General features: G+C 44.1%; 1 protein-coding gene across 2 annotated transcripts in view; it reads left to right on the top strand.

Moving 5' to 3' along the window:
- Positions 1-17,741, top strand: part of XPO6 (exportin 6) — a 113,990-nt gene that overhangs the window by 77,519 nt on the left and 18,730 nt on the right. For both annotated transcript variants that reach the window (NM_015171.4, NM_001270940.2), the window contains 5 exons: positions 514-606; positions 2,044-2,113; positions 8,599-8,758; positions 12,685-12,777; positions 16,985-17,129. In NM_015171.4, the coding sequence (NP_055986.1) occupies positions 514-606; positions 2,044-2,113; positions 8,599-8,758; positions 12,685-12,777; positions 16,985-17,129 (561 nt within the window). The remainder of the gene's footprint in view (positions 1-513; positions 607-2,043; positions 2,114-8,598; positions 8,759-12,684; positions 12,778-16,984; positions 17,130-17,741) is intronic.

Raw genomic sequence — 17,741 nt, 5'->3', positions numbered from 1 at the left:
TTGCTTCTTAAATGTCACCATGGATAAGAATCACTGGAACAGCTTGTTAAAGCAGATTCTGATTCTGGAGGCTTGGGGTGAGGACCATAGAATTTGCATCTCTGACAGCCCACCAGGGGATGCGTTTGCTGGCTGGCTGTGGACCCCATTCTGAGTGGCACTGAGTCAGTCAGTTATGTGGATAGGGATACAGTAGTGGACCGTGTCAGAAGGTGATGCGTGATCATTTCCAACAGGTGATTTCACAAGTGGCTCTCCATCTCTGTATCCTATAACCCAAAGGGGGGAAAATAGCTTATTCTATGTGGATCATTTACTTTCTGAGGAAGTAGTTTTTTGTGAAATTAATTCATTGTTTTTAAAAAATTCTAGCTTGGCCTTTTTATAGTACCAGATAACCTGGTTCCATCATTTTCCATTTCTTCAAAATTTTATGTCTGAGAGTGGTCTTGAGGTTGGCAAGGAAGATGAGAGGATTCTGGGAGAGCTGATTCTCCTGTGCTTCCCCTACAGCAGCAGACGGAGTGGCAGCGGTACTTACGGCAGAGCTTGGAGGTGGTGGCCAAAGTGATGGAGCTCCTGCCCACGCACGCCTTCTCCACACTGGTAATGTGCTGTCCGGGGGAGTGGAGAGTGTAGCGATTTCTCTGTACACAGAGCATGGCTGGTTGACTCCCCTGGATCTCTCTCTCTCTCCCCTCTTTCCCCTCTATGTAATTTTTAAAAACAGAATAATTACCATAAGTGATGCTCAAACTGAACAAATATTAACATTTCCACAAAATATTAAACCAACTTTTGGAACCTTGTTTAGTCTTGGATATAATAGCAATTTGACTAAAGCCTTAATACCTTTATCAGTAGCTTGCAAGTGGCCAGGCCGAGTGGGAGCTGTTACTTATAGAAGTTACATTGCTGAAAAGCTGGCCTTTGTAAAGCTCGCTCTTGGCAAATTGCTAGCTTTCTCTGCGTGTGTCTATACGTGCTGGAATCTTTAGTTGTAAGGATTGATTCCCTTCCCTGTGTGGTGCGTGTTATTCAAAGAGATTTCATTAAATTCATCACTTCTTCAAGGCAAGGCAGTTATTAGGGTAATTTTTTTTTTTTTGAGACGGAGTCTCACGCTGTCTCCCAGGCCGGAGTGTGCAGTGGCGTGATCTTGGCTCACTGCAACCTCCACCTACTGGGTTCAAGCAATTCTCCTGCCTCAGCCTCCCGAGTAAGTGGGACTACAGGAGCTCACCACCACACCCAGCTAACTTTTTGTATTTTTAGTGGAGACGGGGTTTCACCGTGTTAGCCAGGATGGTCTCGATCTCCTGACCTCGTCGTCTGCCCGCCTCTGCCTCCCAGAGTGCTGGGATTTACAGGCGTGAGCCACCGCCCCTGGCCATAGGGTCATCTTTTGCATTGAATGACCCAGCTATACTTGTGTTCTCTCCTGGAAAGCTTCGTACTTTGCCATCTGCCTTTCTTAGGGGCCAGTCACGTTTTAATCTTACTGGTGAGTGTAGCAGCTTGAGAAAGAAAGATGCAGCTCCGGTTATGACGTTCTGACCGCTACTTGAGCCAGGGAACTGACTTCCAAATAATTTGGCCAATCTTATCACTTTACCATGTGCTTAATAAGGCATAGCTGACATTTCTCTCAAGGTAGAGGTTCCCTTGGATTTGAAGGGAGATATGGTCCCTTCTCAGAGTTCTAGAAGGTGTAGGTCATTTCAGGGTTTGATCTCCTCTATTAGGAACGTAAGAGTCATACCACAGTGTCCTTTGCTTTTTTTTTTTTTTTAAAAAAAGGGTTGAACTAATACGTTTTCTTTCTTATTCTGTGTATTAATTGGCGGTTTCAATTATAGAAACTAGTTGGGGGGCACTGAAGGGGGGTCATAGCTTTTTAGCTGCATTTAAAGGTTCCCAGAGAAAAGGTTTTGATCCTGTTCCTCACACCATAGTTACGTGTTAATGTTGTAATGTTAAAATGCTATTAAAACTTGCATTTATGGCTTAAAATTTTTGTTGTTTTTGTTTCTTTGTTTTCAGTTCCCTGTTCTTCAGGACAATTTAGAAGTTTATTTGGGATTACAACAGTTTATAGTCACTTCAGGGTCAGGTAAACTGGTTTTTATTTTCTAATTTAACCAAACATTCAAAAAACCATCGGACTGATATTTCATTACTGCTGCCGTTGCTGTCGGAACATGATTTCTTCACTGCAGCCTCCCCACTGGCATCTCTCCCCACTTCGAAACAGGGAACGTTTTTAAAGGCTTATGATGAAAAGCTGTGGGGGAGGTAAAAGATGAGGTCATGACAGTGTATTCCAAGGAGGTGTTTGGAAAAGAAACTGATTTGGAGTAAAGAGACAGGACTTACTAAAAAGCCTCTAATTAGTTTCCTTATGTCCTTTCAACCAGCAGGTGTACTAGGGAGAACATGGCCTTGTGCTTTCTTGCTTCCTGCTCACTTTAGAATTGGAAGGCCATAGTGCAGCTGATGGCCTGTGGTCCCCCTGCCCCCTGCACCTGTTGCAAATGGCCCCAGGGGCTCTGACCAGAGCTGGTTGAAAAGGCTTTTGGCTGCTGTTTACAGGCCCTGCCTGCTTGGGGTTTAGGGTTAGTTTGCTTTGTTATTTTGTTGATAACAATAATAGTAATAGCTTCCATTTGTAGCTCTCATTACATGCCAGGCACTGTGTTATTGACTTATATTACTTAATTCTCTCCATCGTCCTGTGAGGTGTAAGTGCTATTACTAGTTACCCCTGTTTTACATAAGAGGAAATTGATGTTCAGAGATGTTAATTTACCCAGGGTCCCATGGCTTTGTTGGTACAAGTCGCATGATGGTATAATAGGGAATGACAAAATGTTGAAATAGCTAACATCTGACATTCATTTTTGTCAACTGAAAACACCAGTAACTGAAAGCCACATGTGTCCTCCCTGCCCCATCAGCTGCTATGCACCACTCTCACTGCCCTTCCTTCTTCCCAGCATGCTTCTTATGGGATCTGTCCCGGCTCTGGTGCGCAGCCCCTGTGTTGGGTAACTGTTGTTTCAGCCCAGCACAGAGCCGCCCAGTGTGCAGCCCATCTCCTGGATGAGCTTGTGATTCATGGCAGAGCCTCCACAGGAGCCTTTTTCCGAGGCTGTCCTTGGTGGTCTGTGACGGCTGGTTTCCATGACTATATAAGCTTCTAAATAATCTAGTGGGCCCCAGGAGGCTGATGGGCCTTGGCATGCCCCGAATGTAGGCCCTGACTTTGTAGATAGGGTAAGAAATTTAAAAAGACAAAACTTTAAAAAGACACTTTCAAAACAAACATGCTTATAAAATGTGCTGTCACCACTAATGAAAATCATTTGGCTGTGTAGAAGTGCTACAGATGTTTCCAGAAGCCATTTTTGGGAATAATCGTGCCCAGGTGGTCTTTCCTTCAGGACCACTATTCAAATTAGAATGTACTCAGGACCCTGAAGACACTGTTCTTGATCTATTAAAAAAATCAAGCAGGTGTTCTTTCCTCCCCCACACTGACCCTTCAGTGTCCTGTTTACTTTTGTAAAAGCTGGTGTTTTTACATTCTGTTGTGTCTGTCTTTAGGTGAAAGTCTAGTGAATCTGAAACTCTATTTCTGGGACATAGCTGATAATTCTGAGCTCTTCTCCCTAGAAGGATAATGTGATTTATTTTTTCCTATAGGAAATACCGCATACTTGCTTTCACTAAAGCCTGTTTACTGGCAATTTCACAGAACTCGGCTCGTCCGGATCATTTATAAATCTCATCCTCAGCACTGATCCTTGGCTTGTACTCCAGTGGCAAAACCTCCCAGGCCAGAAAAATGCTTATTTCCTGCTTTAAAACGAGCTCTCTCATCCATGACAAAGCATTCCCCAATTTTTGGTGGCTCAGAAGCCAAGTTTCCAGTGCAAAGGCTATTAACAAATGGAAACTCTGAGTACATTTTTTCCCCTGGTTCCCATAGCCATTTACCCCCTCAAATAACCTCCATGCCACACCAGTCAGTCAGCCTCATGACCCTCAGCAGAAACTGTGCCCTCTCATCCCTGATAGGCTCTGGGCCTTCCTTCATTTGCATTTACTTTCTAGCCCAGCCTTTAGTTCTTGGGTCTCCTCTGGAGCCTGTGTAAATGGGCGCCAGCCGCGATTCTTGTCTACTCCTGGTGCTGTGACCGTGTATGACAATGGGATGCACATTTTGGCCAGCAGTGAGGCCTGCAGTGTGGTTACCCAGCCTGGAAGGCTCCCACTTTTGCTTTTGTCAGAGCAGTTGGATTCAGAAGATCTCGTGCTTCTCACTGTTTCCCTTCCTGCTGCTGAGCCTGCCTCCACTTCCCTGTCAAGACCAAGGCACAGCTTGTCTTGCTGGGCCACGTTGGTTGCTCTGTGCTGCTCTGGCTCCTGGCAGGTCATCCTTTGCTCCCTCTGTCTTTTCTACCTTATGTGGGTTAAGAAACCCTCATTGGTGGTGTTCCCCTTGCACAGCATTGACATCCGTATGTGACCCCAAAGCCTCCATTCTGTATTTGACTTCTGCCACCCCTCATTGGCATCTTCCTTCATTGAGACAGTATTTCTCCTCTAAGTAACCCTTTAACTTTTCTGGTTACCCATGCAAACTTTCCTGTGTAAGGGATTATTTTGCCTACAACATTTTATGTAAGATTTTTAGACTTAAATTGTTTGTTCTGCTTGGGTCCGTTTATGATTTATGATTATGATTTGTTCTCTCAGAGGGAAATGCCTGAATGCTAATTTTTAGACCTCCCTCAACTCCTCAAAAAGAGAAGACTAAATTATGTTTAAGACTTTTTTTTCCCCTAGGGCAGTGAATTGCCAAGGAGCTGTTCTTTGGATGTGGCTTAGGTCATACCTAGACAGCTTTAGAATGACTTGGTTTGTGGAAGATAGGACTTTTGTGTGGCCATGATGTTTTGTGCCTCCAAACCTTTCAGCATTATTCTCATCTGAAGGTTCTACCTTGCAGATGTCCTGTGCTTTTGGGGGGAAATCTAAGCCTTGACCAGACAGAAGAAAGTGTGGGTGGATCTGAACAGCTTTTCACAGTGGGACACTGGCCTATCCCCTCAAGTTTACTTGATGCCCTGCGTGACTTTTGTGGTGGTGAAATTAGGTTTATAGGCTGAAGGAGGGGGTGTCAAGGGTAGAGAATTTGATTTGGGGTATTTATTGCCCATGCGATTGTCTGCCTTGCAGATAGAACAGGAAAGAACCAGCTGTACTTTTGATGAACATGGATCTTAGATACACATATGTGTGAAGTGGAACTGTATGGAATTGCAGTTTTGTTGGGTCAGAAGTGATCAAGTGTCAACAGTTTCATATTGTTCAAACTCACAGTTTAAAACACACACCCAGCACTTCCAAGCTGTTTTCCATCCTGGGTACTGGATGCTAGGTACCCATAGTTGTCATCCTAGGTACTGCTCTTTGCTAGACAAAATAGGACAAGTTCAGAGGGGAGGGATCAGGATGGCAAGGATTCTCAGGAGGGTAATGAGGGGTTACATCCCCAGGGCTATCATGCTGTCAGCAGGCTTTGGCTTGTTCTGTGTTCTACCCTCAAGGAGTGGGCCAGGGGTGATGAGCAATCACAGGGAGATTTACTTTACCCGTGTTTGTGACCAAGTTGTCCAGAGATGGAAGGGCTCCCTTGAGCTCCCTAGCATTCAGCCGAGGTCCAGGAAGAGGCTGAAGGGCCGGGTGTGCAGGGGAAGTGCTGGGCAGAGGGGACGGCTTGGTCAGGGCGACTTTTAAGCTCTCTAGTAATTGTCTATTAAGGACCATACTCAAATGGAAACTTGATTTAGGGTAGTGTTTTGGTTTGGTTTTTAAAACAAATACAGTGTTCCCCTTGTACACTTAAAATACTTAAGAAGCTTGTTCTCAGGTATTCAGCAGGTACCTAGTTGAAGGAATTGGATACTATAGAGAAGTTGGAAACTGGTGGTCAGGGTAGAGCCTGGGGGGAGGTGGAGGTGCGAAATGAAGGTTGAGCATGTGGAGAGTGCCAGGGACTGCTGAAGCGGACTCAGTGACCCCCAGTGTTGCTCTGAGAAAGAAAAGCTGGCCTCCCCTCTTTTTGGGCCTGTACTATGCTATACCCAGTGTCAGGGTGTATTTTTCATTAGAGTTTATTCCCACAGAGCCCTGAGGTCTGGTTGGTGTGCAGAGGAGGAGCAGGTTTTAGAAGTCAACCCTGGGAGTTGGTTGCATAGATATAACCTTGAAAATCCCATTGACATTCAGAGGGTGTATAATTTTGGCACTTCAGTTAACTGAGAGATTGGGGCTGTCTCTTTTTGTAGCCCATGAAGTCTGTGTTCCCTTTCGTACAACCAGTGTGATGAAAATCCCTCTCAGTTCATTGGTTCCGTGAGTTCGTCTGGCTGGGTGGGATGGTCATTCTGTTGCTGTGGTTGGAGGAGCTGGCTTACTCATTAGCTGCACCCACAGCCTCTTCAGGGCTGCCATCTTGTTTCTGCGCCAGGGCACTGCTGTCCTTGTGGAGTGGAGGAGGCAGGACCAGGTGATTTGGGACAGGTCAAAACCAGCCTTTGTCACTGGCCCTCTCTGTCTGAGGTCCTTCCATGAGTTACCTCTTCTTTCGTTCTCCTGCTCCTTAAGATGTGGCCCTCTGTCCCCTCTTCCAGCCTCGTGTCTTCCTTTGGGGGCTGTCGCAGGCACTGTTGCGAGCCTCATCCCTTGACGTTGGTGGCGGATCGAGGCATTCAGCCTGCTACTTCATTTGCCACGTGCTTTGTAGGTGTCCACCCTTCCTTTCTGCAGGTGCCACCCATCCGTGTTTACTGTCAGTAATACATGCCAGTATTCCCAGGGACAGGGTGAGGAAGGAAGCTGCCTGGGACTCCCTGTCCTGCTCTAGTTTGCCGTCTGTTCTGTTGCATCTAAATCATTCATACATTTACGGTCACTCACTCTGTACCAGCTGCTGTGCTGGCTGCTGGACATAGCTGCTCACCACGAGGGATTTTGTGGTCAGTAAGGAGATGGACTTGTAAATCATCGGTTTATCTCCTTATGGGCACGGGTGCCAAGGAGGAAGGCAGGAGTGGGGAGGCCCCACAGAGACAGGATGCCCCTGAGAGGCTGGAGGCTATGTAGGAGCTTGCAAAGCTTGGGTGGGCAGAGGATGACATGATCAGCAGTCTAGGCAGAGGCACAGAGACACGAGGCTCTGGGGAATTACCAGTGGATCTGGATGACATAGTGGCATAGTAGAAGGTGGCGAGGCCATGAGAGAGCTGAGTTGATACTGGAGAGTCTAGGCTCTCCCCTTTTAGCAGGAGAGAGCCTCCAGAGGCTTCAGCACCTGCTTCAGGGGAGCTGCAAGCTTAGTCTGGGCTCTGGGAAGCTGATTTTGGAGCACAGCGGGAGGAGGGTTGGTGGTGACCAGTGTGAGGAGGAGGGTTGGTGATGACCAGTGTGAGTCTCGCCTCCTAAGAGACAGGAGAGAACTGAAGTAGGGGGAGGGAGCAGGTGTGGAAAGTACCCGGGGAGTTCTGGGATCGTAGGTGCCCTAGTTACGGTGCCCTAGTGGTGTTACCACCCCACCCTCATTCCTGCTGTGTCAGTGAGAAGGACTTGAATCAGACCTGCAGGTCTCTGTTCCTGCAGGTCTCTGAAAATTCTTACTATCTTTTGTGGACATTTGTGAAGAGAGGGATCCAAAAACCAAGGAAGTGACCGAATCAAGGGAGGATGTTTTGTCCTTCATCTTAGCATCCTCCTTATTCAGTTTGAAGAAGTTGTGTTGAAAAGTAAGGAAATTTCAGACCTTAGTAAGTCACTAGTTCTTTGTTATTTATAATAATTAGAAATACTGAACAATGCTCTGTAGCTTAGAGGGTTATATATTTTAACATGGCCCTTGTAATAGTGATACTGAGGCTTAGGAGGGTTGTATGAGGCACTGAGCCCAGAAGTGGCGGGGAATCTGTGTCTTCGGAATCCAAGTCCCATACTCTTTATTTCATACTGTGTCACCTCCCAGCCTTCAGGGGTGGAGTGCTGAGTGTACCTCTCCTCTCTTAGCAGGGGCGGGTCCTAACTGTTGGTCCATGGAAATTTCATTCTGAGATAGGGCCCTATCCTAAAGGAACCAGATTTGGAGTCACATAGACTCAGCGTAGAACACCAGCCTTGCCCCGGAAATGTGACACGTGCTTGGCAAGTGCCTGGGCCTCCCTGGGTGTGCCTCCTTGTATGTAACAGTGATGGTGTCAGGACCTTACAGGGTCAAAAGGAATCAGATCAGGGGCTCCCTCCACGTTAGCACACTCCAGGCTGTCTGCCCCTTCCCACAACTCTGTCTCTGTCCCTGGACTCTGGAGCACAAACGTGTAGTGTTAGGTGGATACCGGGCCCAGTTTCCCTGCTCAGTACTGGGAAGCAGCCCGTGGGTTGCTTTGTTTCGCGAATTGGTTTTGCTGCTGGTTTTGCTGTGTGTGGCTTGCTGGACCAGCTGTTATCTGTAGTATCTAAAGCGTGGTCTTCCTGTGAAAAACTGTCTGGCGTGTTGTGTTCCAGGACACAGGTTGAACATCACGGCGGAGAACGACTGCCGGCGGCTGCACTGCTCCCTGAGAGACTTGAGCTCCCTGCTGCAGGCCGTGGGCCGCCTGGCCGAGTACTTTATCGGGGATGTGTTTGCTGCACGGTTCAATGATGCCCTCACAGTCGTGGAAAGGTAGGCTGGCAGTTACCTTATGGAGCTGTTCCTTCTTCAGAGTTCAGCTTTACCTTCTTGTGTGAGGGGCAGCATATTGCCAAATAGCTTCTGCTCTGGCCCCGGGTAAATCTAGGCTCTGCCACATACAAGCTGATAGGGAACAAATTACTTAACCTCTCTGAACTTCAGGTCCCTCATTTACAATATGAAGTAGATGTTGTTTCCTGTAGGTTTAGTGTGAGAATTAAATGAGATAAAGCACTTAGCACTGTGCCTAGCACATAACAAAACGCCTGATAAGTTATTTAAGGTATTGTTTCTTTGAAGATCTTGTGTATAAATGTAAACACAGTTGTAGACCCAGGAGAAACCAGGAGAGGTCAGTCTTCATGTCTTTCCTCATAGGATAAAGAGATATTAAGAAAGCCCTACTGATAAGGAGTCAACTCCATTGTCCAAGTAGGCAGCTAGATGCACAGGGTGCTTTTTGTGTTTTTTCCAGTCCCATTAGGGCCTCGGGAGTGAAAGCTGGGTAGCCTCCACGCCTGGCCCGAAAGGTGGTTCCCAGCCTTTCACCACTGGGCTCCTTTTCTTCTCCTTCCTCTTGGGTCTCACACCAGGTTTACAGATGCACTTGTTGAGGAACACTTGATTCTACTCAGTCAGCAGTCCCTCCTCCCTTTCTCCCCTCGAAAAACCCAAGATGTAAGTGACAGGACATTTAGATCATTTCAAGGCAGCTGTTGAATTGGTTAGATCAAAACTGAGTAGATGTGGATCCAGCCCAAAGCCAAGACACCTGATGCTTCGACTGGCCCAGCAGCCGCATCACTGGTGACGTGCAGAGGGGAAGTGAGCCTCAGGAGCCTGGGTGCATGCATGCCAGACTTCACTGCCACATCTTAGCTGAAAAGCAAAGATAGCCAAGGGGCTTAAATCCCTTAAAAGCCAGATTCATATTAATAATAAAAACAGCACACAGTAGTAGGACATTTTCTGTGTTTTTGCACATGGTCTTTCATTTTGTTCTGTACTTTGAGAGACAGGCATTGCCGTTTTATTGTTGAGTAAGTACATTGTGGCTCAGTGATGTGAGTGCCTTGCCTCGGTTCACACAGTCTTTGAGAGGGAGAGTGGATTTTAACAGTTTCCTGGGTCCACATGTTGTGCGCTTTCCAAACCGTAGCGTTTGTATTGCCAGTCCGTTCCTCCTCCTCTTCTTGTACTGGGCCCATTTGCACTGAGGTTTAGCAGGGATAAGACATGTTTTTCTGTCTGAAATCCAAAGATAAGTCCATTATTTGAACTTACTCTGTTAAGCAATATAGATATATCTTATCTGTTCAGTTGGCGGGGCGCAGTGGCTCACGCCCGTAATCCCAACACTTTGGGAGGCTGAGGCGGGCAGATCACCTGAGGTCAGGAGTTCAAGACCAGCCTAACCAATATGATGAAACCCCATCTCTACTAAAAATACAAAAATTAGCCGGGCGTGGGGACATGCGCCTGTAATCCCAGATACTCAGGAGGCTGAGACAGGAGAATCGCTTGAACCTGGGAGGCGGAGGTTGCAGTGAGCTGAGATTGCGCCAGTGCACTCCAGCCTGGGCAACAAGAGTGAAACTCCGTCTCAAAAAAAAAAAAAAAAGGTATATCTGTCAGTCATCTCAACTTTGTAGTGAGATGATGTCTCAAAGATCCTGAATCATTTGATAGGTCCCTATCTTTCTGCACTGCTTAGATTTCCAAGCCCAGTGCTTAAACATACTTGTTATTAATATTTTGTCTTCATTTAGAATAAAATGTGAGAGAAGGCTCTTGTTATGACTACATGACCTTAATAGCCAGTATGATTAGCAGTGTTTTCATTTATTGGTTACATAAAACAAAGCTAATATTAGAACTGCTAAACACAGACACATTAAAAGATGTTTGGAAATGCATTTTTAGTGTAGAACAGGATTTAAACACCAGGTGCATATTGGTATATTGTTTTCTGATAATAACTGTTCTGATCACGAGGACTTCGTGGGACTTTGGGAACCTTAGTTCTTTTGCCCTCACTTTCTTGACTGACCGGAAGTGCTCCTTTTTGATTGCTTTCTCATTGCTCCCCAGCAATCAGAAATACAAATACAAGTTTGTATTTGTAACAAGTTCCTTAGTTGATTGTTATGCTGGGACAAAGACAAACACTGCCTTCCCTGGCATCCATTTCCAGGTTTCCACGCAGAGTAGGCAGAGAGAAACTAGCCAGGTCTTGGGTTTTTTCCCCTTCACTCAGAAAGGAATGTCTTTCAACTCCAGGCGTGGTGGCTCACCTGTAATCCCAGCACTTTGGGAGGCTGAGGTGAGCAGATCGCTTGAGTCCAGGAGTTCAAGACCAACCTGGACAACATGACGAAACCTGTCTCTACTAAAAAGACAAAAAAATTTAGCTGGGTGTGGTGGCATGCGCCTGTAGTCCCCGCTATGGGAGGGGGCGCTGAGGCGGGAGGATCACTTGAGCCCCAGAAGTCTAGGCTGCAGTGAGCCAAGATCACTACAATCCTCTGGCCTGGTTGACAGAGCAAGACGCTTTCTCAAAAAAAAGAGGAGAGAAAGGAATGTTGTCCTGTCTGTAATGAAAGAGGCATTTCCCATTTCCTACTAGATAGAGCTATTAGTTATTGTGTTTAATGCTCGTTAGTATCCAGTGAGCCCTTGAGCAACCAGTGGGCTCAACAGCTTGCTTCTGAAAGAATTGTACTTGAACATAAAACACCTCCACCTATTCTAGAAACATTTGCTCCTTTCATCTGCCTCCTCCAAAGTTTTATCAAACATTTTCAAATTTGAAGAAAAGTTGAAAGAATTGTACAGGGAATACACATATACCCACCACATAGATTCTATGGTGGACAGTTTGCTGTATTTTTTTTATTATGTATCAACCCATCTGAAACATTTCCTTTTAAAAATGATTTTAAATAAAAGCTAAGATGGTTTTATCATTATCAAATTTTATAGAAAAGCCCACGTCATCCTATTTCGATAAACTGCCAAAAGAGCAGTTTTTTTTTTAAAACAAAACAAAACAAAACAAACAAACAGGATTTTGGTCTTGTTCTGTTACCCAGGCTGGAGTGCAATGGCATGATCCTGGCTTAGTCCATCCTCAACCTCCTGGGCTCAAGCAGTCCTCCCTACTTAGCCTCTCCCAAGTAGCTGAGACTACAGGCATGTGCCACCACATCTGGATAAAATTTTAAAAGACAGGGTCCTACTTTGTTGTCCAGGCTGGTCTTGAACTCCTGGACTCAAGTGATCCTCCCACCTTGGCCTCCCAAAGTGCTGGGATTACAGGCATGAGCAACCACATTCTGCCTGCTTTTTAAGAACTATTTTTTATTCTCCTCATTTATAAAACATTATATATTAATTGTAGATAATTTGGAAATGCAGAAAAATAGAGGGAAAAAAATCATCCATAATCTACCCACTCTATCCTCCCCCTAAAACAAGTGGTACCAATAAGCATATTTTGGTGACACTTCTTCCCGCCTGTCTTCTGTTAATAGATGAACATTCACGATGTATTCTGTATGTATATTTAGTACAACCATGTCATGTTTAAAACATCCTGAATATTTATCATTAAATATGCCTCTAAGCATGGTTTTTATTGTATATATTGCATTGTATTACCTCCTCTGGGTTGGATATTTATATTGTTTTCAAAGTTTTTGACACCTTCAATAAGGCTTTAGTTAATATGCTTGTATATAAATCTTTATGCATATCTCAGATTATTTCCTTGGCATAAAATTGAAAGTCTGGTCTTGATTCTTTTTTGTATATGAAAAAGTCTGCCCTTACGCTCTTTGCTGGTACCAGCCTTGTCTGTTTTGTCTGTCTTAGTTCATAAGCTGAATGTTCTTGTTTACCTGCCTCTTTGCCAACAGGTTGGTCAAAGTCACTCTGTACGGATCTCAGATAAAATTGTACAACATTGAAACTGCTGTGCCATCAGTATTGAAACCTGACCTCATTGATGTGTAAGTCTAGAGTTTGATGTTTGTGCATTTTTAGGAAAGACCTTGCCCCCAATCTCCAAATAATTTGATTGAGAAAAAGGAACAGTAGTGGCTGCCATGAATCAGGGAAAAACTCTTAAACTGCAAACCTAGAAAGAGAGAGAGATTTTTTTGACTATATGTCTGGGGCAGAGGCGGTTGGAGAAAGTGGAATTAGGTAAGTGAGAGCTGGGATGGAGATTCTATGGAGTAGGCATTTCAGGAGGAAAGAACAGTACAGGCTGAGACAGTCACACAGGCAGGAGGTGGCTACTCCATGTAGTGCAAGAAGAGACTGGATAGGTGTGTTGGGACTAATGGGAAACACCTCAGATGCCATCAGTCTTTCCTGTAGATCATTGACTAAAACTGTAGGATACTGTAGGATGCAGAAGAATGCTTGGGGAACACATTTCTCAGAGATTCTGATTTTAGCAGAATGGCATAAGGCCATAAGGCTTGGGTATTTGCGTATTAAACAAGAACCCCAGGTTATTTTGAAGCAGGACATCTAGAGACCACACTCTCTACCTACAGAAACTCTACAGATAACATGGGATGCTGTTAGGAAAGTGACATATGGAAGGACAGGGACAGGAGATGGGCAGTATCCCAGAGATTTCACTGCCCAGAAGACTTGCTTTAGATGAGAGCAGGGGGTTGGCAAACTATGGCCTTTGCCAAATCTGGCTTACTGACTGCTTTTGTAAATAAAGTTTTATTGAAACACAGCTACATTGATTTACATACGGTCTGGGAGTGGTTTTGCACTATAGCAGCAGAGTAGAGTAGCTGTGACAGTGTGTATGTATGCCCTGCAAATCTGAAAATATATACACTCGGGTTTTTACAGAAAAGGTCTGCCGACTCCTGCTGTAGAGCATTCTTGAGCTGCAGATTAGATAAACGATGGAAAGAGAATCTTACTTACTATGGTGGTTTTAAACTTTTAAAAAATATATTGCTTTCCCTTTTGAGAATTTAGAGAAAGTTGTAAAGCATCTCCCAAGAAAGATGCCAGTTTCCTTATAAATACAACAACTTGTACACATTTTGGGAGTTTCAGAGCCCCTCCTTTCAGCCTTGAGGAGCTCTACAGATGTGCTAGATTGACTGAAATTCTTACTCCTAAGGCTGACTTTGATGTCCTTTCTCTTTATTTTGGTATTTAGAACTTAAAGGGTAATGTGATTCTAAATATAAAATAAAATTTTAAATGTAAAATACAAAATAACTGTGTGGTCACTATGAATTTCAAACTTTCAGTAACTATATTTTCTTACTTTAAAGTACTAGCACATTTTCTTACCCAACTGCTAATTTTGAAAAAGTTCAAACCTATAGAAAATGGGAAAAACAGGCGAATAAGCACCCATGGACCCTTAGCCTAGAGTAACCAATTACAAATTGGCTTTTGTTTCTTGTGCCCTCTCTGCACACAATACATGATGATGATGATGATGATTATTATTATTATTTTGCTGAGCCATTTGAAAATAAACTGCATGGCTGAACGTGATGATTCATACCTGTAATCCCAGCATTTTGGGAGGCCGAGGCAGGCGGATCACTTGAGGTCAGGAGTTCAAGTCCAGCCTGACCAACGTGGTGAAACCCTGTCTCTACCAAAAAATATAAAAATTAGCCGGGCATGGTGGCACTTGCACCTGTAGTCCCAACTACTCGGGAGGCTGAGCTGGGAGAGTCGCTTGAACCCGGGAGGCTGAGATCACACCACTGCTCTCCAGCCTGGGTGACAGAGTGAGACCCTGTCTCAAAAAAGAAAAGAAAGAAAAGAAATTACAGACAACATGTCACTTCACCCGTAAATCCTTCAGTGTGTGTATCCTAGAAATAAGTTCATTCAGCTCTTTAACTATGATATCATTATCAACCCTCACATAATTTAATACATACAATAATGTCATCTCATATATAGTCCATATTAAAATTTCTTCAGTTGTCCCAGGAATGTTTTTGTATCTTTTTTTTTTCTTGGATCCAAGGTCTAACTAATCATGAGCCACACATTAAATGTATTTCCTATAGTCTAGAACAGTTCACCCAATTGTGTTTGTATGTCTGCATGTGCGTGTGTGTGTGAGAGTGACTGAGGACCTTTTGCAGATCCAGATCTTAATTTTTTTAAAAGCATGTCCTACAATCTGGATTTGTCTAATTATTTCCATTATATTAGATTCAGTTTAAACATTTTTAGCAAGGTTACTACATAGGCAATGATGTGCCTTTCCTCTTGCATCATGTCAGAAGGCTCTTAATATCAAATTTCCCTGTAATTGTTGATGCTGAGTTTGCTTTTAAAATGGTGTCTAGGCTGGACACACTGGCTCATGTTTGTAATCCCAGCACTTTGGGAGGTTGAGGTGGGAAGATCGCTTGAGCCCAGGAGTTTGAGAGGAGCCTGGGCAACATAGTGAGACTCTGTCCCTACCAAAAAAAAAAAAAAAAATAGCCGGACATAGTGGTGCATGCCTGTGGCCCCAGCCACTTAGAATTGCAAGCCAGGAGAATTGCTTGAGCCCAGGAGTTGGAGGCTGCTGTGAGCTATGATTGTGCCACTGCACTCCTGCCTGGGCAACAGAGCGAGACCCTGTTTCAGCAACATAAATAAGTAAATAAAGTGATACCTGCCTATATCCTAATTCTGTCTGCTGAAAGCTCCTAGAAACAGTGACAATCCAGTAGCAATCCTATCCGTTTTCCCCAGGTCTTGGTTTCTCAAATCCATTCTCCAGAGCACCTTGGAGAAAAAAGCTCAAGTCTGGGGGGGTGATGTTGGACAATCTTGCCAAGTCAGCAAGTAAGGAAGTGCTCAGTGACTGTTGGGAACATGTGAAGAGGATGCAGGACCCAGCTTGAAAGGGTTCTTCCTGGTCAAACTTGACAGTTCAGTCATCAAGAAAGAATAAGGACAATAATGAATTATACCAGTTTGAATGAAAATAATCTACTCATTCAAAGTGATTAACAGGCTAGGCCGGTGCAGTGCCTCACACCTGCAATCCCAGCCCTTTGGGAGGCCAAGGCAGAAGGATCGCTTGAAGTCAGGAGTTTGAGACCAGCCTGGCCAACATAGACCCCATTTCTACAAAAAATACGACAATTAGCCTGGCATGGTGGCATGGACCTGTAATCCCAGCTACTTGGGAGGCTGAAGCAGGAGAATCACTTGAGCCCAGAAGGTTGAGGCTGCAGTGAGCCATGATCGTGCCCCTGCATGCCAGCCTGAGCAACAGAATATGACCCTGTCTCAAGTAAACAAACAGATAAACAAAAACCCAAAGTGATTAACAAAATAAGGATGAGAGGAGGGAAAGCCTCTTTTTAGAGAAGACTGCCAACTAATGAGGAGAAAAGGAAAGATAGAAAAATTACCAATTCACAACCACCAATGTAATACTGATTTAGGCAGGAGTCGTTAATAAATGCCCAAACCATGAGGAACACTGTCTTTGTGTCACCTCATAGTAGTACCACCTTACAACTTACTAATTATTACCGAAAGGTAATTACATTTAGGTATGTTGGAAGGCTTGGTGTTTTGAAGCTCCGAGACAACTGTCTCTCCTTGTTTAAGATTGATTGTTTATTATATTTGATGAATTGCATACTTTTTTGATGTATATTTTGTTGCATGTACGATGCAGTCAGTACAGCCTTTGCTGAAACCAAACATAGTCTTTGCCGCCTCAGTTATTCCCTAGCCAGGTGGAATGTGTGGTGCAGTGGAAGCTTAAACTCCAAAATCTGACATCAAAGCTCTGTTTATAAAGCTGTCACACCTGGTAGTTGTCTACGCTTTAGTCTGCAGCTAGGAATGTTAAATTTGTACTAGTTCTGAAGTCAACACATGATCACTTAAGTTCTTTGATTTTGCTTTTATAATTTACCTTTCTCTTAGGTGAGCATGTGTCACAGAAAGATTGAATAAGATTCAGTAGACATTGACTAACTGCCTTCTGTGCTCTAGTCAGCGGTGGCAATGTTTAGATGATGAATATCTTAGTTTTTAGGTTCTACGTGAACCGGTAAATGATTTCTATGCTGTTGCCCATGTCTTAGAACAGCAAATGCAGTGGATGCAATTCTTACCTCCTATGAAAATGAGTTGAACGCTAATATATTTTCACCTTAACCTTTAAAATCACATCTTCTTTTCTTTCTGCAGGCATGCTCAGTCCCTGGCTGCGCTGCAGGCTTACTCTCACTGGTTAGCACAGTATTGCAGTGAAGTTCACCGGCAGAACACGCAGCAGTTCGTGACACTCATCTCTACTACCATGGATGCAATCACACCTCTAATCAGCACCAAGGTCTCGAAACAGCAAAGCCTACACCTTTTATCTAACTCTCTGTCTCTCCTTCTGTTCCTATACCCATTTACTAGAAAATCTAAATATGACACAGAGTTAGACCCATAAATCTTTCTGCTGTTATACATCTGTTTTATTTCATGTTCCTTTTTAGTTGTAGCCTACATGCATTCAGATACAACTTTACTTTTTTAGTTATCTGAGTTCCACATGAATACATGCTCACTGTGAAAAAGTAAAATATCATTCAGATTTCCAGACTAAAAAGTTGTGATACCTCTGAAACATTTTCCTTCGCGCGGTAAGCACAGTTGGGCAGTGGTTGTGCAGGCACACCTCATTTTATTGCACTTCCCTTTATTGCGCTTCACAGAGACTGTGTTTTTTACAAGTTGAAGGCTTATGGCAACCCTGCATCAAGCAAATCTGTCAGCACCATTTTTTTGACAGTATTTGGTGCTTCCATGTGTTACATTTTGGTAATTGTTAGAATATTTCAGACTTTTTTGTTACTATATCTTACAGCGATTTGTGATCAGTGATCTTTAATGTTACTATTGTAATTATTTTGGAGTGCCACAAACCAAAGACTGCAAACTTGATTGATAAATG

This window comes from Homo sapiens, chromosome 16 (assembly GCF_000001405.40).
Source record: "Homo sapiens chromosome 16, GRCh38.p14 Primary Assembly".
NCBI lineage: Eukaryota > Metazoa > Chordata > Mammalia > Primates > Hominidae > Homo > Homo sapiens.
Note: the sequence above shows the minus strand (reverse complement) of the source record. Positions and strands in the feature narration are given on the sequence as shown.